Here is a 15,419-nt window from a genome sequence, read left to right on the forward strand (position 1 = left end):
TGAGGGTTTAGAAAAGGATACCACTCGGATTCTGACCTGCAATCTAGTTAAGGAGTCCTGGCTGAGGGGGCAGTTCAGGAGCCACATGAGTTCCCTGTTCCAGGGAGGAAAGACAGATACTTATGGAGCAGAGTGTTTAGAGGATCCAGCTTTAGGTTCTTCATGTTAGTGTCTGGATTTAATCTCATGACAGCCCTGCTAGTGAGGTGTCAGTATCCTCTCTTCATGGATGTCTGTGACTCCAAAGCATATGCTCCTAACCACAGAGCTAGATGGCAAAGAGGTTTCTCATCAGGCCTCTGCCAGAGCCAGAGATAGAACCTGGCAGCCTGAACCCCTTTATTGGCTAATTGCATAGCTTTAGCAAATATATCAGGACACGTATTGTTGAGGTGGTTAATCTCTATTCTCCCTGTGTTTATCCTCCTTGCATCAGGGAGTGCCCCTTCCCCTTGCCTAAAGAGAAGTTTATGGCAGAGATGGAAGCAGAAGCTATCTGAAATCAGTGTTTCTTCCATCCTTTATGAAAACTTAAATTTATAGAAATGATTGGGTTGTTTTTACCTGGTAGGGAAGAGAGGACCTCTGAAGACACAGTGAGGGTAAGGAAGGGAAATTTCTTCCAGACAGGGATGAGGTTAGAGGTCTACAGTCTCCTCCAGGAGTAGGGACCTGAGCACTGCTCCATATCAACACTTGAGGTAGCTCTGTGGATGGTTTATTGAGGCTGAGCATCTGGTCATGATATATTTTCTAGTATGGACCAAGAGATGGATGGAGGAGGAATAGGGTTCCAAATTTTGTCCTAATCACAATATACCATGCGTTCTCAATATATGTGGCATTATGCCCAAGGGGCCAAAAATTAGATTTTTGGGGTAGGGTTTTCATAGATATTACAATAATCTTTGACCCTCCAAAGGACCACAGTACATAAACATATATACACTACATCTGTGGTATTAAAAATCTCACCTTCTGCAGTTGAGAGGGGTTGATTAGGAAAAAAATGTTTGAAAAGCCTCCTGGAGTTAGGGGGAAGTAAGAATGAAAGAACATTGACAAACACTTCACATACATAACAACCTCTTATGTAGATGATGGGCTACAGGAACTTAGGGACTGATTATTTTATACTTCCTCATGGATACGCACTCAGCAACCTCTTTTGGGGGTTGATGGTGGTGGTGGTGATGATAATGATGATGACAATATAAATGAAATCCTGCCCCTGGAGCTAAGAGGCCTGGATATGGTGATTATTTGAATTGACTGGTTGTTAAGGTGGTAGACAGAAAGTGCTCAGTCAGAAAAACTGATATTTCCTCTGAGAAAAATGATCTTGATAGTGGAAAATTAATGTTTACAAAAGTAATATAAATAAGTGGTACTCTAAATTTTATAAATTATAAAATTTATATATATTCTTTAATCTTAACACTTATTCAAGTTACCTATTTAATTCTATAATTCAGATCAGGGTATAGAAAGTTAGGGCAGATTAAGTACTTCAGGGAAACTGCTTTAAATGCCTGCTCAGTAGTGGAACCTTGAATTATTCTAAAGCTTTTCCCATTGTGTCCTGAAATTGCCAGGGCTCTGAATACTCTAATCTTTCTGGGCACTGGCCTTTGATGCTGCCCAGGATACCGTTTAAATTTCTATTAATGACTTATATTGCTTTTAAATTATAATATTATTGACTATTTTTAAACAGTGAATGGCAAATTTCTCATTCTTGCTCATTTCTGCCCCAATTTGGGACTCTAAGGAATTCTAACGAGGAAGTAAATATGAAGATATAGCTGAATAGGTTTCCAAAAGCATGAGAAATGTTGGAAAACCACAGCAAAATATAATATTGACTGATGGGGTTCTAAATAATTTATATATAATAGATATTTATGTATGTTTCAACATAGATATAATTTATAAGGAAACTATAGCATAAAGCAGGGAGGGTAAGGGGACTTTTTAAGGTGAGGTTTCCACATATTAATTGAAGTGGTAAAACAATAATTCCAAATAGGCTGTAAAAAGTTAAGTAGGTAGATTGTAATTTATAGAGTAACCACAAAAATGTTATATTATACAAAGAGATATATTCAAAATCACAATAGAAAAATTAAAATGGGGTACTAAAAAGTGTTCAAATCCAAGGAATGCAAGAAAGAGGAAACAAAGTAATGAAAATCAGACGGGGTATAAAGTAGTAGACCTAAATGGAAACATATCAATAATTACATTAAATGTTAATGGTAAAACACATATTAGATGAGGTTATCAGAATGGATTTTTTAAAAACAACAAAAATAAAAACAGCCCAACTACACACTGTCTACAAGAAACTCACTTCAAATATAAATGATATAGATAGTTCAAAAGTAATAGAATGATTGAAGAAATACCATGCAAACATTGATCAAAAAGAAGCTGGTGCATCTATATTATCAAACAAAGTAGACTTGAAAATAAACAAAATTACTAGGAATAAAAAAGGCCAATTAAGCAAGAAGATATAACAATTCTAAGTGCATATATTTATATAGATATGCATATCTATATAGATATAGATATATATCATCAGAGCCTCAAAATACATGAAGCAAAAGCTGACAGAACTGAAAGAGAAATAGATAAATTATAATGGGAGGTCTTCAACACTCTTCTCTCAGTAATAGATAGAATTAGTAAACCAAAAATCAGTAAAGTTATAGATGAACTGAACAACACCATCAACCAACTGCATCTAATTAACATTTACTGGACACTCCACCCCAAAACAGCAGAACACACACTCTTTCCAAGTGCACACGAAACACTCAGCAAGACAGACTACATCCTAGATCATAAAACCAACTTTAACAAATTGAAACTGAATAGAATGTGTTATCTCACAATAGTGAATAAAACTAGAAATCAACAACAAAAGACAACAGAAAAGTCTCCAAGAACTTGGAAATTAAACACATATCTAGTTAATTTATGAGTCAATGAGGAAGCCTCAAGGGAAATAAAAAATACATAGAACAGAATTAAAATGAAAATGCAAAATGAAAACCTACAGCTATCAAAATTGGAGGGTCAGAAAACAAATAGTTCATTGCCAGGGTTGGGGTGTGGAGAACAGGCTGATTGCAAAGGGGCACAGGATGCCCCTTTTTGGAGTGATGCAACTGTTGTATGGCTTGATTTTGGTAATACTTACACAACTGTATGCACTTTTCAAGACTTGAAGAACTGTACATTAAAGAGAGTGAATTTTACTTTACCTAAATAATAGCTTAATGAAAATGATTTTTTAAAGTGTGCACCTTGTTATGTGAAGAACACAACTAGCACATCAGTGTTATTCTGTGATTGCAGTTTGGTATCTTAAAAATAAATAAATCAGTGTAGCAGTGGTTACCTTTAGAGAGTAAGATGGGGGAATGTTGGTCAGGAAACAGAATTTCACTTTGTCTAGCTATGGGGACATTTTCAGCCACATGTAAATTATTTATAATCTATTACAAACCAGTATCTATGGAAGATATTCTGATAAGCAGTAAGGGTACAGAGGAGAATAAAAGTGATTTTCATATACACTTAAAACACCCTTGTCTCTTTGTTCCATTAAAATTAATTTAGGAATGATAAGTAGTTCCATATGATTTATGATGTAAAAACACAAAAATTATGTTCAGTAGGATACAGCTAAAAGTTTAAATAAATGTGATCTATGCTCCTTCTGAATTATAATTCATTAAGGGAAATGGTTATGCTCTGGTGAATAATAATATCTTTTAAACAATATCAGAATGATCAAGAATTGTGGCTGGATATGATTATAATAGGGAAAATATAATGGAAGAATATGGGCCTTTTGTCACAAACAGAAGAATTTCTAGGTGTTTCAGCTTTTTAAAATCCTATACGAGGGGCCAGGTGTGGTGGCTTCAAGCCTGTAATCCCAGCACTTGGGGAGGCCAGGGTGGGAGAATGACTTTAGCCCAGGAGTTCAAGACCAGCCAGGGCAACATAGTAAGACCTTGTCTCTACAAAAAATAAAAAGGAAATTAGCTGGGCATGGTGGCATGCACTTGTGGTCCCAGCTACACAGGAGGCTGAGGTGGGAGGATTGCTCAAGTCTAGGAGCTGGAGCTTTGATCGTCGCTGCATTCCAGCCTGGGGGACAGAGTGAGACCCTGTCTCAAAATATATATATAATATATGTTTATATATGTATAATATATATATTTTATATATTATATAAAATAATTATATATTTTATATATTATATAAAATAATTATATATTTTATATATTATATAAAATAATTATATATTTATATATAATTTATATATAAAATATTTATATATTATATTATATATTTATAGATAATATATTTTATATGTATATATATATATAAACATTTTAAAAGACCTATATGAAGGAAGTGGGACCATGTATCTCAGTGACCTTTGTCCTCTCTTAATATGGTTAGAGCCAGACCTAAATTCTGTGAGGGATCAACTGCCCTCCAAGCCTCTTCACCTCGGGCAACACACTCACTGGAGTAGAGGAATGAGGAGAGTCCCACCGGCCAGCCCCACGTCCTGTCACATGTCCTCATTACCACTGTCACCAGCCCAATGTTAGGTTTCCACAGTAAACAGGACAGACTTCTGTCACTTCAGCAGCAGAGGCTCCATCCACAGGGTTACTCCTCATGGCTGCTCTGCTTCATTCAACTCTGAGAGCAGTATTTTTACCCTCAGCGTCCAACACCTTCCAGGCTGCCAAAAGCAAATGGGATCACATGTGTTTACAACTCTCCATGCCTTGCCAGAACTCAGCAGGTAAAATGCAGACTCTGTATTATATAGCCTGCAGAGACCTGTTCACTCTGCCCAGTGTTCCTTACTACCCTCATCTAAGGCCACTCCTCTCTCACTCACTCTGCTACACAGGCCTCCCCCCAGCCCAGATGGGCCAAGCTACTTCCCACCTCAGGGCCTTTGCACATGCTGCTCCCACTGCCTGGGAATCTCTCCCACCCTAGCTTTCTCCTATTCACACTTCAGGCTGCCATTTAAAGGTAATTTCTCACAAGGGATTTCTGTGCCCCCTCGCATCTAAATTAGATTCCCAATGTTGTTCTCTGGGATGCTGGACTTTGCTTCATGAAGGCCACTTGAGTAAAAGTACTTGACTAAAAGAGAGAAACGCAAATAATGCAAATGGTACAGTGCTTGGAACATAGCAAATCCTCAGTCTAGGTACCAGACTCCCATTGACTTGGCTCCCTGGTGTTATCCTCTTTGGTAGCTGAGGAGAGGAGAGAGGAAATGACTCACCTGATGTCCTGTCAACAGTGAAGGCTCGGGCACTGAAATTCAGGCAGAGCTCCTGATTCTTGTTCCAGTGTCCCTCCCTGCAGATCCACAGTCACCAAATGCCTAGTGTTTCTGGAACTCCAAGAAGATCCCAGACTCTTAAATCATGGGAACACCTGAATTGAAACTATTGGACCCACAAAGCCACAAAGACCACAGGGAAGGTACAACCATTCAATAGGAAAGTGTGCACTTTTTTCCTACCTGTTTTTATCAGACAACTCATTCTATAACATTCTGTCTCACAGAAATGGCCTTGAATCTGTTACATAAGTACATGAGCGTGTTTATTTTTTCTTCTCCTTTTAACATTCCCAAAATGCTAAGACATAGCGATGATCTTGAGGTTAAAAATAAAATCTCTCTTTAAAAAAGATAGAATGGGAAGGAAACAGACAAATGCTGTCTTTCTATATGTTCTAGATATTCTATTTGGTATCAGGATTTCCTTTTACAGATTATAAGACTGAGTTTCAGAGAGGTTAAGTACAGGTTCCAGGGTAACACAGCTTCTAAGAGAAAGAGCTGCTATCTCAATCCCCATGTGCTTGACTAAAAGGCCTGTGTTTGGAATCAGGCACTCAACCTCCTCTTTAGATGAACAAGGTAGACCAATGAGACCTTCCATACACAATTGGTTAGATTGTGACCTGGCATACATATAGACTTTGCAGAACATTTTGGTCATATCTAGCAGACTGTACCTATTTGATAACACCTCAAATGGACTCACAGATATATATATATATATGGTAGATGTATACAAGGAGATTTGTACAAAATGACCTCTGTACCACTCTTTTTTAAAAACCTTTTTATTAGGGAAAATTTCAAATATATACAAAAGTAGAGAAAATAGTCTATTAAACACCCATTTCTCATCACCTAATTCCAAGAATTATCAATTCACAGCCATATACTCCACATTTTCCCACCTCCACCATTTTGAAGCAAATAATATATTTTCATCCATAAGTATTTCAGTATGAATCTCTAAAAGATGAGAGCTCTTTTAAACATAAGCACAATACCATTGTCACACCTAGAAAAAATTTGATAGTAACTCATTAATATCAAATATCAATATCAATTGTTGCACAAATGCTTTTTGTACAGTTGGTTTGTTCCAATTATGGTCCAAACAAGGGCCCCATATTGCACTTGGTTGATATGTTTCTTAAGTGTCACAGACATGTTGAGCAAAAGAAAGTTGAACTCATGGAAATAGAGAGTAGAAGGATGGTTACCAGAGGCTGGAGAAGGTAGTGGAAGGATGAAGGGGAAGGAGGGATGGTTAACGGGCACAAAAAGTAGTCAGAATGAATAAGACCTAGTATTTGGTAGCACAACAGGGAGATTATAGTCAATAGTAATTTTAGTATACATTTTAAAATAACTAAAAGAGTATAATTGGATTGTTTGTAACACAGGGGATAAATGCTTGAGGGAATGGATACTTCATGTTCTGTGATGTGATTATTTCACATTGTATAACTGTACCAAAACATCTCATGTATCCCATAAATATATACATCTACTAGGCACCCGCAGAAATTAAAAATTTTAAATTTAAAAAAACACAAAAGAAGCCAAGCAAAAACAGGGAATACTGTATAATCCCACTGGTATGTTTAAAAAACAGGTAAAATTAATATTTGTGCACCACTGTTTTTAACAGCACAAATCCGAAAACAATTGAAATGTCCATCAACAGATTATTCTGGATAAATCATACTACAATCATACAATGGAATACAATATACCAGTAAAAATGAATGTACTAAAGCTACAGCAATTAGAATGTAGATAAATTTCAGAAACAATATTTGGTGAAAATTGCAAGTTACACAGTGATACCTAGTTAAACCTGTGTACATACATCTGTAAAATATTTCCTATGAGGCTTTACTAAATTATAGATGTTTAGGATCTACTCTGGACTTACTGAATCTCAACTTGATATTCTATTGGTATATATTACTACTGAATTCTTAATATACTCATGGTATATTATGTACATTGTGTGTTCTTGAATTATTAAATCCAAATATTTTTCCTTTATAAAAATTATGTTCATCTTTTTTGTAAATCAGATGTAATATTCACTGTCTTCACTGAAAATCTGTATAATGACTATCTTTAAATACATTGTGTTTAAAACTTTGTGGATTAACTTTATTACCTTTGTGTCACAGAAATAACCAAATTTTCTGTCGATTGCATTATTCCTGTTATAGACACATCAGTTCTTTCACTTCCGAAAATTACCATCAAAAAATTAACCACAGTCCCATTTTAAGCCTTTGTCATCCACAAATAGTTTTTGTTTTACTCTGAAGCTTGCCAGAAGACTCTGCAATCAGTCACAGGCTGGAGTTTGTCTCCTCAAGAAAGGAGGACTGTCTCAGAGCCCTGCGGAAATGGATGTCAACACTGAGCAGGGTGGTAGATTTGGTCAGTAAAGAAACAATTAGCCCTTATCCGATTCAGAGAGTTTATTACTTACATACATATTTTTTAATGAGTAGCAAATTGTCCCCTGCATTGGGCAAAATAAAAGGGGCCAAATGACTGCAACATGCGTGAGAGGACATCCTGTTCCTAAGAAGTCAGTGCTGTACTACAGCCACAGTTTTTTAAAATTAATTTTTATTTATAATTGGCACATGATAATTGTATATATTTATGGGCTACAATGTGATGTTTTGGTGCACGTATAAATAGTATAATGATCAAATTGGGGTAGTCAGTTACAGTTAGGCAGGAAGAATAAGCTGGGTGTTCTATTAGACAGTAGGGTGACTTATAGCAAATACCAATGTATTGTATAGTTCAAGATTACTAACAGAGTAGGTTGTGAATGTTGCCACCACAAAAAAAAAATGATAAATGCAGCTAAAAAGTTTTACAGCCTGCAGCTGTAATCCAAAGGAGTAGGGCAGAATGACTCACACCTCATCAGAATCCAAGAGGCAATAAGAAACTCTCATGATAGTCTCCTGCTAGATAGGGAGGCAAGTGAGAAATGGTGTGGTTAACAGCTGCTCAGAGACTTGCCATGCTTTCATGCTCAAGCAAGACCAAAAAGGTATTATTCCAAGATTTAGATGAGCAGGGGTTCAAACTTTGCCTACATGGCCTATGTCAATACATGTAAAGATGTTAGGGTGCTGGAAAGGAGCTGTATCCCTCCCCCCAAAACTATGCTATGTATTTTAGTCTTTTGACACATGAAAGGTACTGGCTGCTGCTTCTCTTTTTTTTTTTTTTTTTTTTTTTTTTTGAGATGGGGGTCTCGCTCTGTCACCAAGGCTGGAGTGCATTGTTGTGATCATAGCTCACTGCAGCCTCTAATTCCTGGGCTCAAGCAATCCTCCTGCCTCAGGCTCACAAGTAGCTGGAATGGCAGGTGTGCACCACAATGCCGGGCTGAGGTGTTTTTGTTGTTGTTGTTGTCGTTGTTGGTTGGTTGGTTGGTTGTTTTTTGCAGAGATGGAGGTCTATTTTGGCCAGGCTGGTCTCTAATTCCTGGCCTCAAGCAATCCTCTCACCTGAGCCTCCCTAACTGCTGGGATTACAGGCATGAGCCACTGCGCCTGGCTAACTTCTGAAGTCACTGCTTCAGCAACTTAAAAACCATACCAATAGACTGAGGATTTCCAGAATTTTTTTAAATTGAGAAGCAGATGGATTCATGAGACTGCTAACCCCAAATCCATCAGAACAAGAGTTAATCATATATGACTGAATTATCTGATGAGGGATTATTGTAGTTTTTTTTAAATATTGCTGATGTTGTTCTATGTTCTGGATATATAATGCAGACTTGTCTTTCTTACATATCTTTAACCCATAACAATTTAGTAGACTTGGCATTTGTAAACTGAAACAAAATATTTGCAAATTATCTTTTTCTCTCTGATACCCCCACCATCTGTAGAATTCACAAATTCAAATTAGGTATTCTACTTTTCATGGTAATATAGTGATCTATACAGGTTCAATAAGAACTTGTCCTCCTTTTAACCAGGATATATTAATAATTGGCAAATTTGGTTATGCAAATAAGGCCTTGTCTGAAATATCATATTTGAGAATGATGCTCACTTAATCAAGTATAACCAGCTACAGTTAGAGAATTAAAATTTAAACTAGAAAGCCCACTGAGGAAAACTGACTTAGTACCTGGCTTTCAGGGTCCCAGCCTTATAGGTGAGAAACGAAGGCCAGGACCTCTGAGATAGTTTGATAACCTCAAGAAGAAAGAATTGGCCCAAATTATATATAGTGCAGGTGAAATCCAGTGAGAAAAGTTTCTTGAGTTTCCTTCATAGCCTCAGGATGAGCAAATAATAAGAGGCTTTTAAAAATCCAATGTGAAAAACCCACAGCTAACATCAAATTCAATGGTGAAAGCCTGAAAGCCTTTCCTTTAAGATCAGGAACAAGACACCTGCATTCAAAATAATTTTGGAAGTTCTAGACAAAGCAATTACATGAAGAAAAAGAAGCATTCAAATTATAAAGAAAGTAAAATTATTTCTGTTCACAGGTGACATTACCTAGTTTGTAGAAAAATTTAAGGATTCCACAAAAGAACTGTTCGAACTAATAAATTCCGCAATGTTGTAGGATACAAAACCAACACATAAAAATCAGTTGCATTTTTATACATTGACAGTGAACAACCCAAAAAGAAAATTAAGAAAACAATTCCATTTTCAATAGCATCAAAAAGAATATAATAATTAGGAATAAACTTAACTAAGGAGGCAAAAGACATCTGCACTGAGAACTACAAAATGTTGATGAAAGAAAATTTAAAAGACAGAAATAAATGGAAATGCATTCTGTGTTCATGGATTGAAAGACTTAATATTGTTAAGATGTCAGTACTAACAAAAGTGATCTATAGATTCAATCCCTATCAAAATCTCAATGATGCAATGATGTTTTTTGCAGGAATAGAAAAATGCATCCTAAAATTCATATGGAATCTCAAGGGATACTGAATAACTAAAACAATCTTGAGAAAGAAGAACAAAGTTGGAGGTCTCACACTACCAGATTTTAAAACTTACCAAAAATCTACAGTAATCAAAATAGTATGGTACTGGCATTAAAGACAGACAAATAAACTAATGAGATAGAATAGAGAGCCTAGAAATAAACTCTCACTTATATGATAATTGATTTTTGACAAGGGTGCCAAGACCATTCCATGAGGGAAAGGACAGTCTCTTTAATGAATATGTGAGGAAAACTGAATATCCACATGCCAAAGAATGAATTTAGATACTTCCCTTACACCATATACAAAAATAAACTCAAAATAGATCAAAGCCCTAAATGTAAATCTAAAACTATCAAACTCTTAGAAGAAAACATGGGGGGGAACCTTCATGACATTAGTTTTGGCAATGATTTCTTGGATAACAAAAGCACAGGCAACAAAAAATAGATAAATTGGATTTATCAAAATAAACTTATGTGCATCAAAGGACACTAACAACATGGTGAAAATGCAATCCATGCAATGGGAGAAAATATTTGCAAATCATATATCTCATAAGGGACTAATATTTAGAATATATAAATAACTCCTACAACTCAACAATAAAAAAAATAATCGAATTAAAAACTCGGCAAAGGACCTGAATGACTATTACTCCAAAGGAGATATACAGATTGCCAATAAGTACACGAAAAGATGCTCAACATCACTAATTAGTAAGGAAATGCAAATCAAACCACACAATGAGATACCACTTCACATTCATTAGGATGGCTATTATACGAGAAAAAAAAAATAACAAGTATTGGCAAGGATGCAGAGAAACTGGAACCCTTGTGCATTGTTGATGGAAATGTAAAATGGTACAGCCACTGTGGAAAACAGCATGGCAATTCCTCAAAAAATTAAACATACAATTAATATATGATCCATCAATTCCACTTTGAGTACATATCCAAAAGAATTGAAAGCAGGAGCTTGAATAGATATTGTATGCCAATGGTCAATAACAGCATTATTCACAATAGCCAAAAGATGGAAACAACCCAAGTGTCCACCAAGGGATGAATAAATAAATAAAATGTGATATAGACATACAATGGAATATTATTCAACCTTAGAAAGGAATAAAATTCTGATACATGCTATAACATGGATGAACCTTGAAGACATTATGCTAAGTGATATAAGCCAGACACAAAAGACAAATATTGTATGATTCCATTTATATGGGGTACCTAGAGTAGTCAAATTCATAGAGACAGAAAGTAGAATGGTGGTTACCAGGGACTGGGTTTTGGGGGGAATGGGAGGTTGTTGTTTAATGGGTACAGCTTCAGTTTGGGAAGATGAAAAAGTCTGGAGACAGATGGTGATAATGGTTGCACAACAATGTGAATATATTTCATGTCACTAAACTGTACACCAAAAATGATCTATATGGTAAATTTTGTTTTTTATATATATATATATATAAATACAGTAAAAAAGTCCAATGTCATCATTATGAAAACTCTTAGCAATGCATACTAAAGAAGGACTATATAGTAAATTAGGATTTCTGCTGTACCTGTGTAAATAAACAAGCCAAATCTAATGAGTTCAGCCTCATTTTGTGGTCAAGAATAACCATACTTTGAAATTAATGTTTATCAAAAATAGAAAAACTATAGGAAAAATGTTCTTCAAAGGAAAATTGTGTGTTATTTATAGTACACCCTTCTGGGTTGTTTGATTCTGATTCTATGGGAGCAATATTATAGCTCTGTACACTTTTAGTTACTTAAAGAAATGGAAATAATTCCAGTCTATAAATATGCAAATGAATTTTGTACAGTGAGGGTGTGGAAAAGAATGGCCTTCCTCTCTTGCGGCAAAGCCTGAGAAAGAGGTTATTTTCAGTTTAAAAATAATGAAGCTTTAAAATTTCATGCAGTCATATCTGTTAATATTTATTATATTAAATAGTAAAACAGAAATTTTTAATATATTTATATTAATTCATGTTAAACTTACAATAAAATATCCATTACATTCTGTAAACCTACATTGTAAATTTATATGAAAAATATGTTTTCTAAAACAAGTCATAAGGAGATGGACTTTTTATTTGAAAATCTCTTTAATATTTATTCTAACAGAAGTCTGTTGAATTCTTATATATGTTCCTGCAATTAATCTGTTGAATATAATATATAAGGTATCTCTGGAAAATTTCAGCATATATTTGTGAGGGAATGAGAATGAAAAATATAGATAACATCTTACAGGTCCCGTGAATGGCTTACCTACAAAAATAACTAAAAGAACTGATTCGTTAGTAAAGTGGTATAATGCAACATTATTAAGTATAACCCACTATTTTATTTTTTAAACAAATTGGACCATAGATACATTAAACTAAAATTGATAATATCTAGTTTGTTGTAAAAAAAATGTTTTAAAATTAGCAGGACATCACACTTCAAGAACTAAAGTAGATTCAATGTTACTGGAACATGGTTCTTACCTTTGGTTTTCAATACAGCGTGTTTGTGGATATCCCCAGACAGCATCAGGCTCGGGTGGTCTGGATCTCTCTGGAGGTGATAGTGGAGCACTCAGTGTAGCAACCTGGCAGCCAGCCTTGGTGGTGATGTGCTCAAAGATGTCGATAAGAAAATCATTCATGATGCCCAAGAAATTTAATGTAGTGCTGATATCAGGATGAAATTGCTTCAGAACCCTGTAAACATAGATGTAAATATAGACAGTTACTCAACTGTCTCCATAGCATCTCTTTTCACATCTTCCCCTTCTGTGTTTTGGAAATGACTTTCTTAAAGCCCTTTTTATTAAAGTCAGATTTAGAAGAATGCTCAGCCATGACGGACATTGTTTTCAATACCTTGAAATGAAAAAGATAGTGGTTGGTGACAGGGTGGTGCCCATGTATAGGCCCTGTATTCAAATGAAGTACTGGGTACACACACAATTTCTAATTAGATGAAATGTAATTCGAGGAAACCCTGCCAATAAACCACACAATGGCAAATGTGATTGGATAGTTCTATGTGGCACAGTCCAATGAGAAGGCATGAAACGGTCAGGCTGACTGAAAGCTTCCTGTAGGCTCCACCAAGAGCACTTTGAAGATACCATCTACAGCAGCTAAATTGGAGCAATTTCAGCTTCAACTTGTTGAGTGATTCTGATCTCCATAACCCGGTCCGTAATGCCAGAGGAATGATGCTGGCCACGTTCGGGCCATTTGTCCAGTAACCCAGAATCTAATGTCACCCTGGGCTAAGCCACTGTGGCTTGAGCAGGAATCCTCCCACATGGGAGAGGAGCTCGTGGAAAACAAGAGACCTGGCTAACAAACCACTGCCTCCCATTCTTATCAAAAACCTCAATGACTCAAGGAAAGATGACAAAACTATGGTCTCCAAACAACACACACAAAAAACAGGAATATTTATTAAAATGTAAAATATTCATGAGCAATAAACAATTTAAAAATAGTTTTCTTGACAATACTTAGGTCCTAGAAACATACTTTAAACTGTATAATTTGTGGATAAATATCAGGGCTCTTGGCTGAAAAAAGTTACTAAACTAAACATCTAACTAAACTCCTTAGGGAGAAAAGGGAAATAATGTAGGAAATATTATTCAATGGAAAGGATATCTCTTTTAAATATCTATGATAATACAACTGAAAATATTGAATGAATGTATAAATTTGTGGAAAATATAAATGACAGAAACTAAACCCACTCTCCTCCCCACAAAAGAGATTTAAGGACTAAGAAGAATAGAAGAAATCGAGGTCACCAGTGAGCTACCATCCCAAAAGGCCAGGCTTCCAAAAGTATTTCATGTCAAACCACTAAGGAACAGGTGTTCTTTTCTCTTAATGGAACGGTGTCAGATTACGAAGGGAAAAAATATCATTTTGATGTAAGGAAAATATGCCAAAAAGAGTTCTGACCAGTGACATTTATAAGCGAGAATATAAAATCCTACATAAAATATTAGCAATTACATCTGGCATCATAGTTAATGATGAACAAAAAGGGACAAAGCAGGATTCATCCAAAAATACAAAGATGTTCCAGTAAAATACAAGTATGATTCACCTTATGATGTTAAAGGAAAAAAGGGTAATCTTCAGTTAATCTCAGTACATGATTTAACTTCCTTTGCTAATATAATGAGTTATACAATGTTTGTTTCATGGTAAAATACTAGCATTACCATCATTAGAGTCAGGATTCAGAAAAATTGAGCCCTCTCATCAAGACTATTATTTATCAAGATCTGGTGTATTTTTAAAAATCTTATAAAAGGACTTGAAAAAGGATTTTACTGCAGAGGAGACCTGGAAAACTACAACAAAATAATCTGCAAGTAAACTGCCCAAAGAGGTACCACATGATTGACTTACACATTTGGGACAACATTTTGGGAAACCAAGGCTTTTTTCAGAGCCATGTGTGGCTTGAAAAAAAGGCTTTCTCTTTCAGAGAAAGAGCTGTGGACATATTTGTAAAAAAACATTTCATTAAGTCACTTAATTTATATCATGCTGCTTCAAAATGCCAATGTCTGTCAGTGTGCCATACAAATGTTTTACCAAAATTATTCTAGCATATTGGTCTCATACACATTGTATTATGGAAAAAGGCATTTTTAATATATCAAATCCATGAGGACAGTTATAGCGCTTTTGCCATTTTCCTCTTGTAAATTCAGAAAGTAAATAGAAACATTAGTGAAAGAACATTAAAAATGCGTTATAATTTGGCTGAGAGTGCAGGGGTGATTGAGATAGATGAATCTGGTAAGTAAAGAAAAAAAACAAGGCTTGATGCTGAAAGGCTAGATGGGGCAATGAGTACATCTGATTATTAACCTGGTGGGTGCATGACGAACAAGGAGACTGGGCAAGAGTGCTCTAATTCTGTGTTAAAAAAAAAAAGACTAAGGGAAACAGCTTTAACTGCTGTAAATAACGTACTATAAGCAGGACTCCTGGGGAAACAG

This window comes from Homo sapiens, chromosome X (genome assembly GCF_000001405.40).
Source record: "Homo sapiens chromosome X, GRCh38.p14 Primary Assembly".
Lineage (NCBI taxonomy): Eukaryota > Metazoa > Chordata > Mammalia > Primates > Hominidae > Homo > Homo sapiens.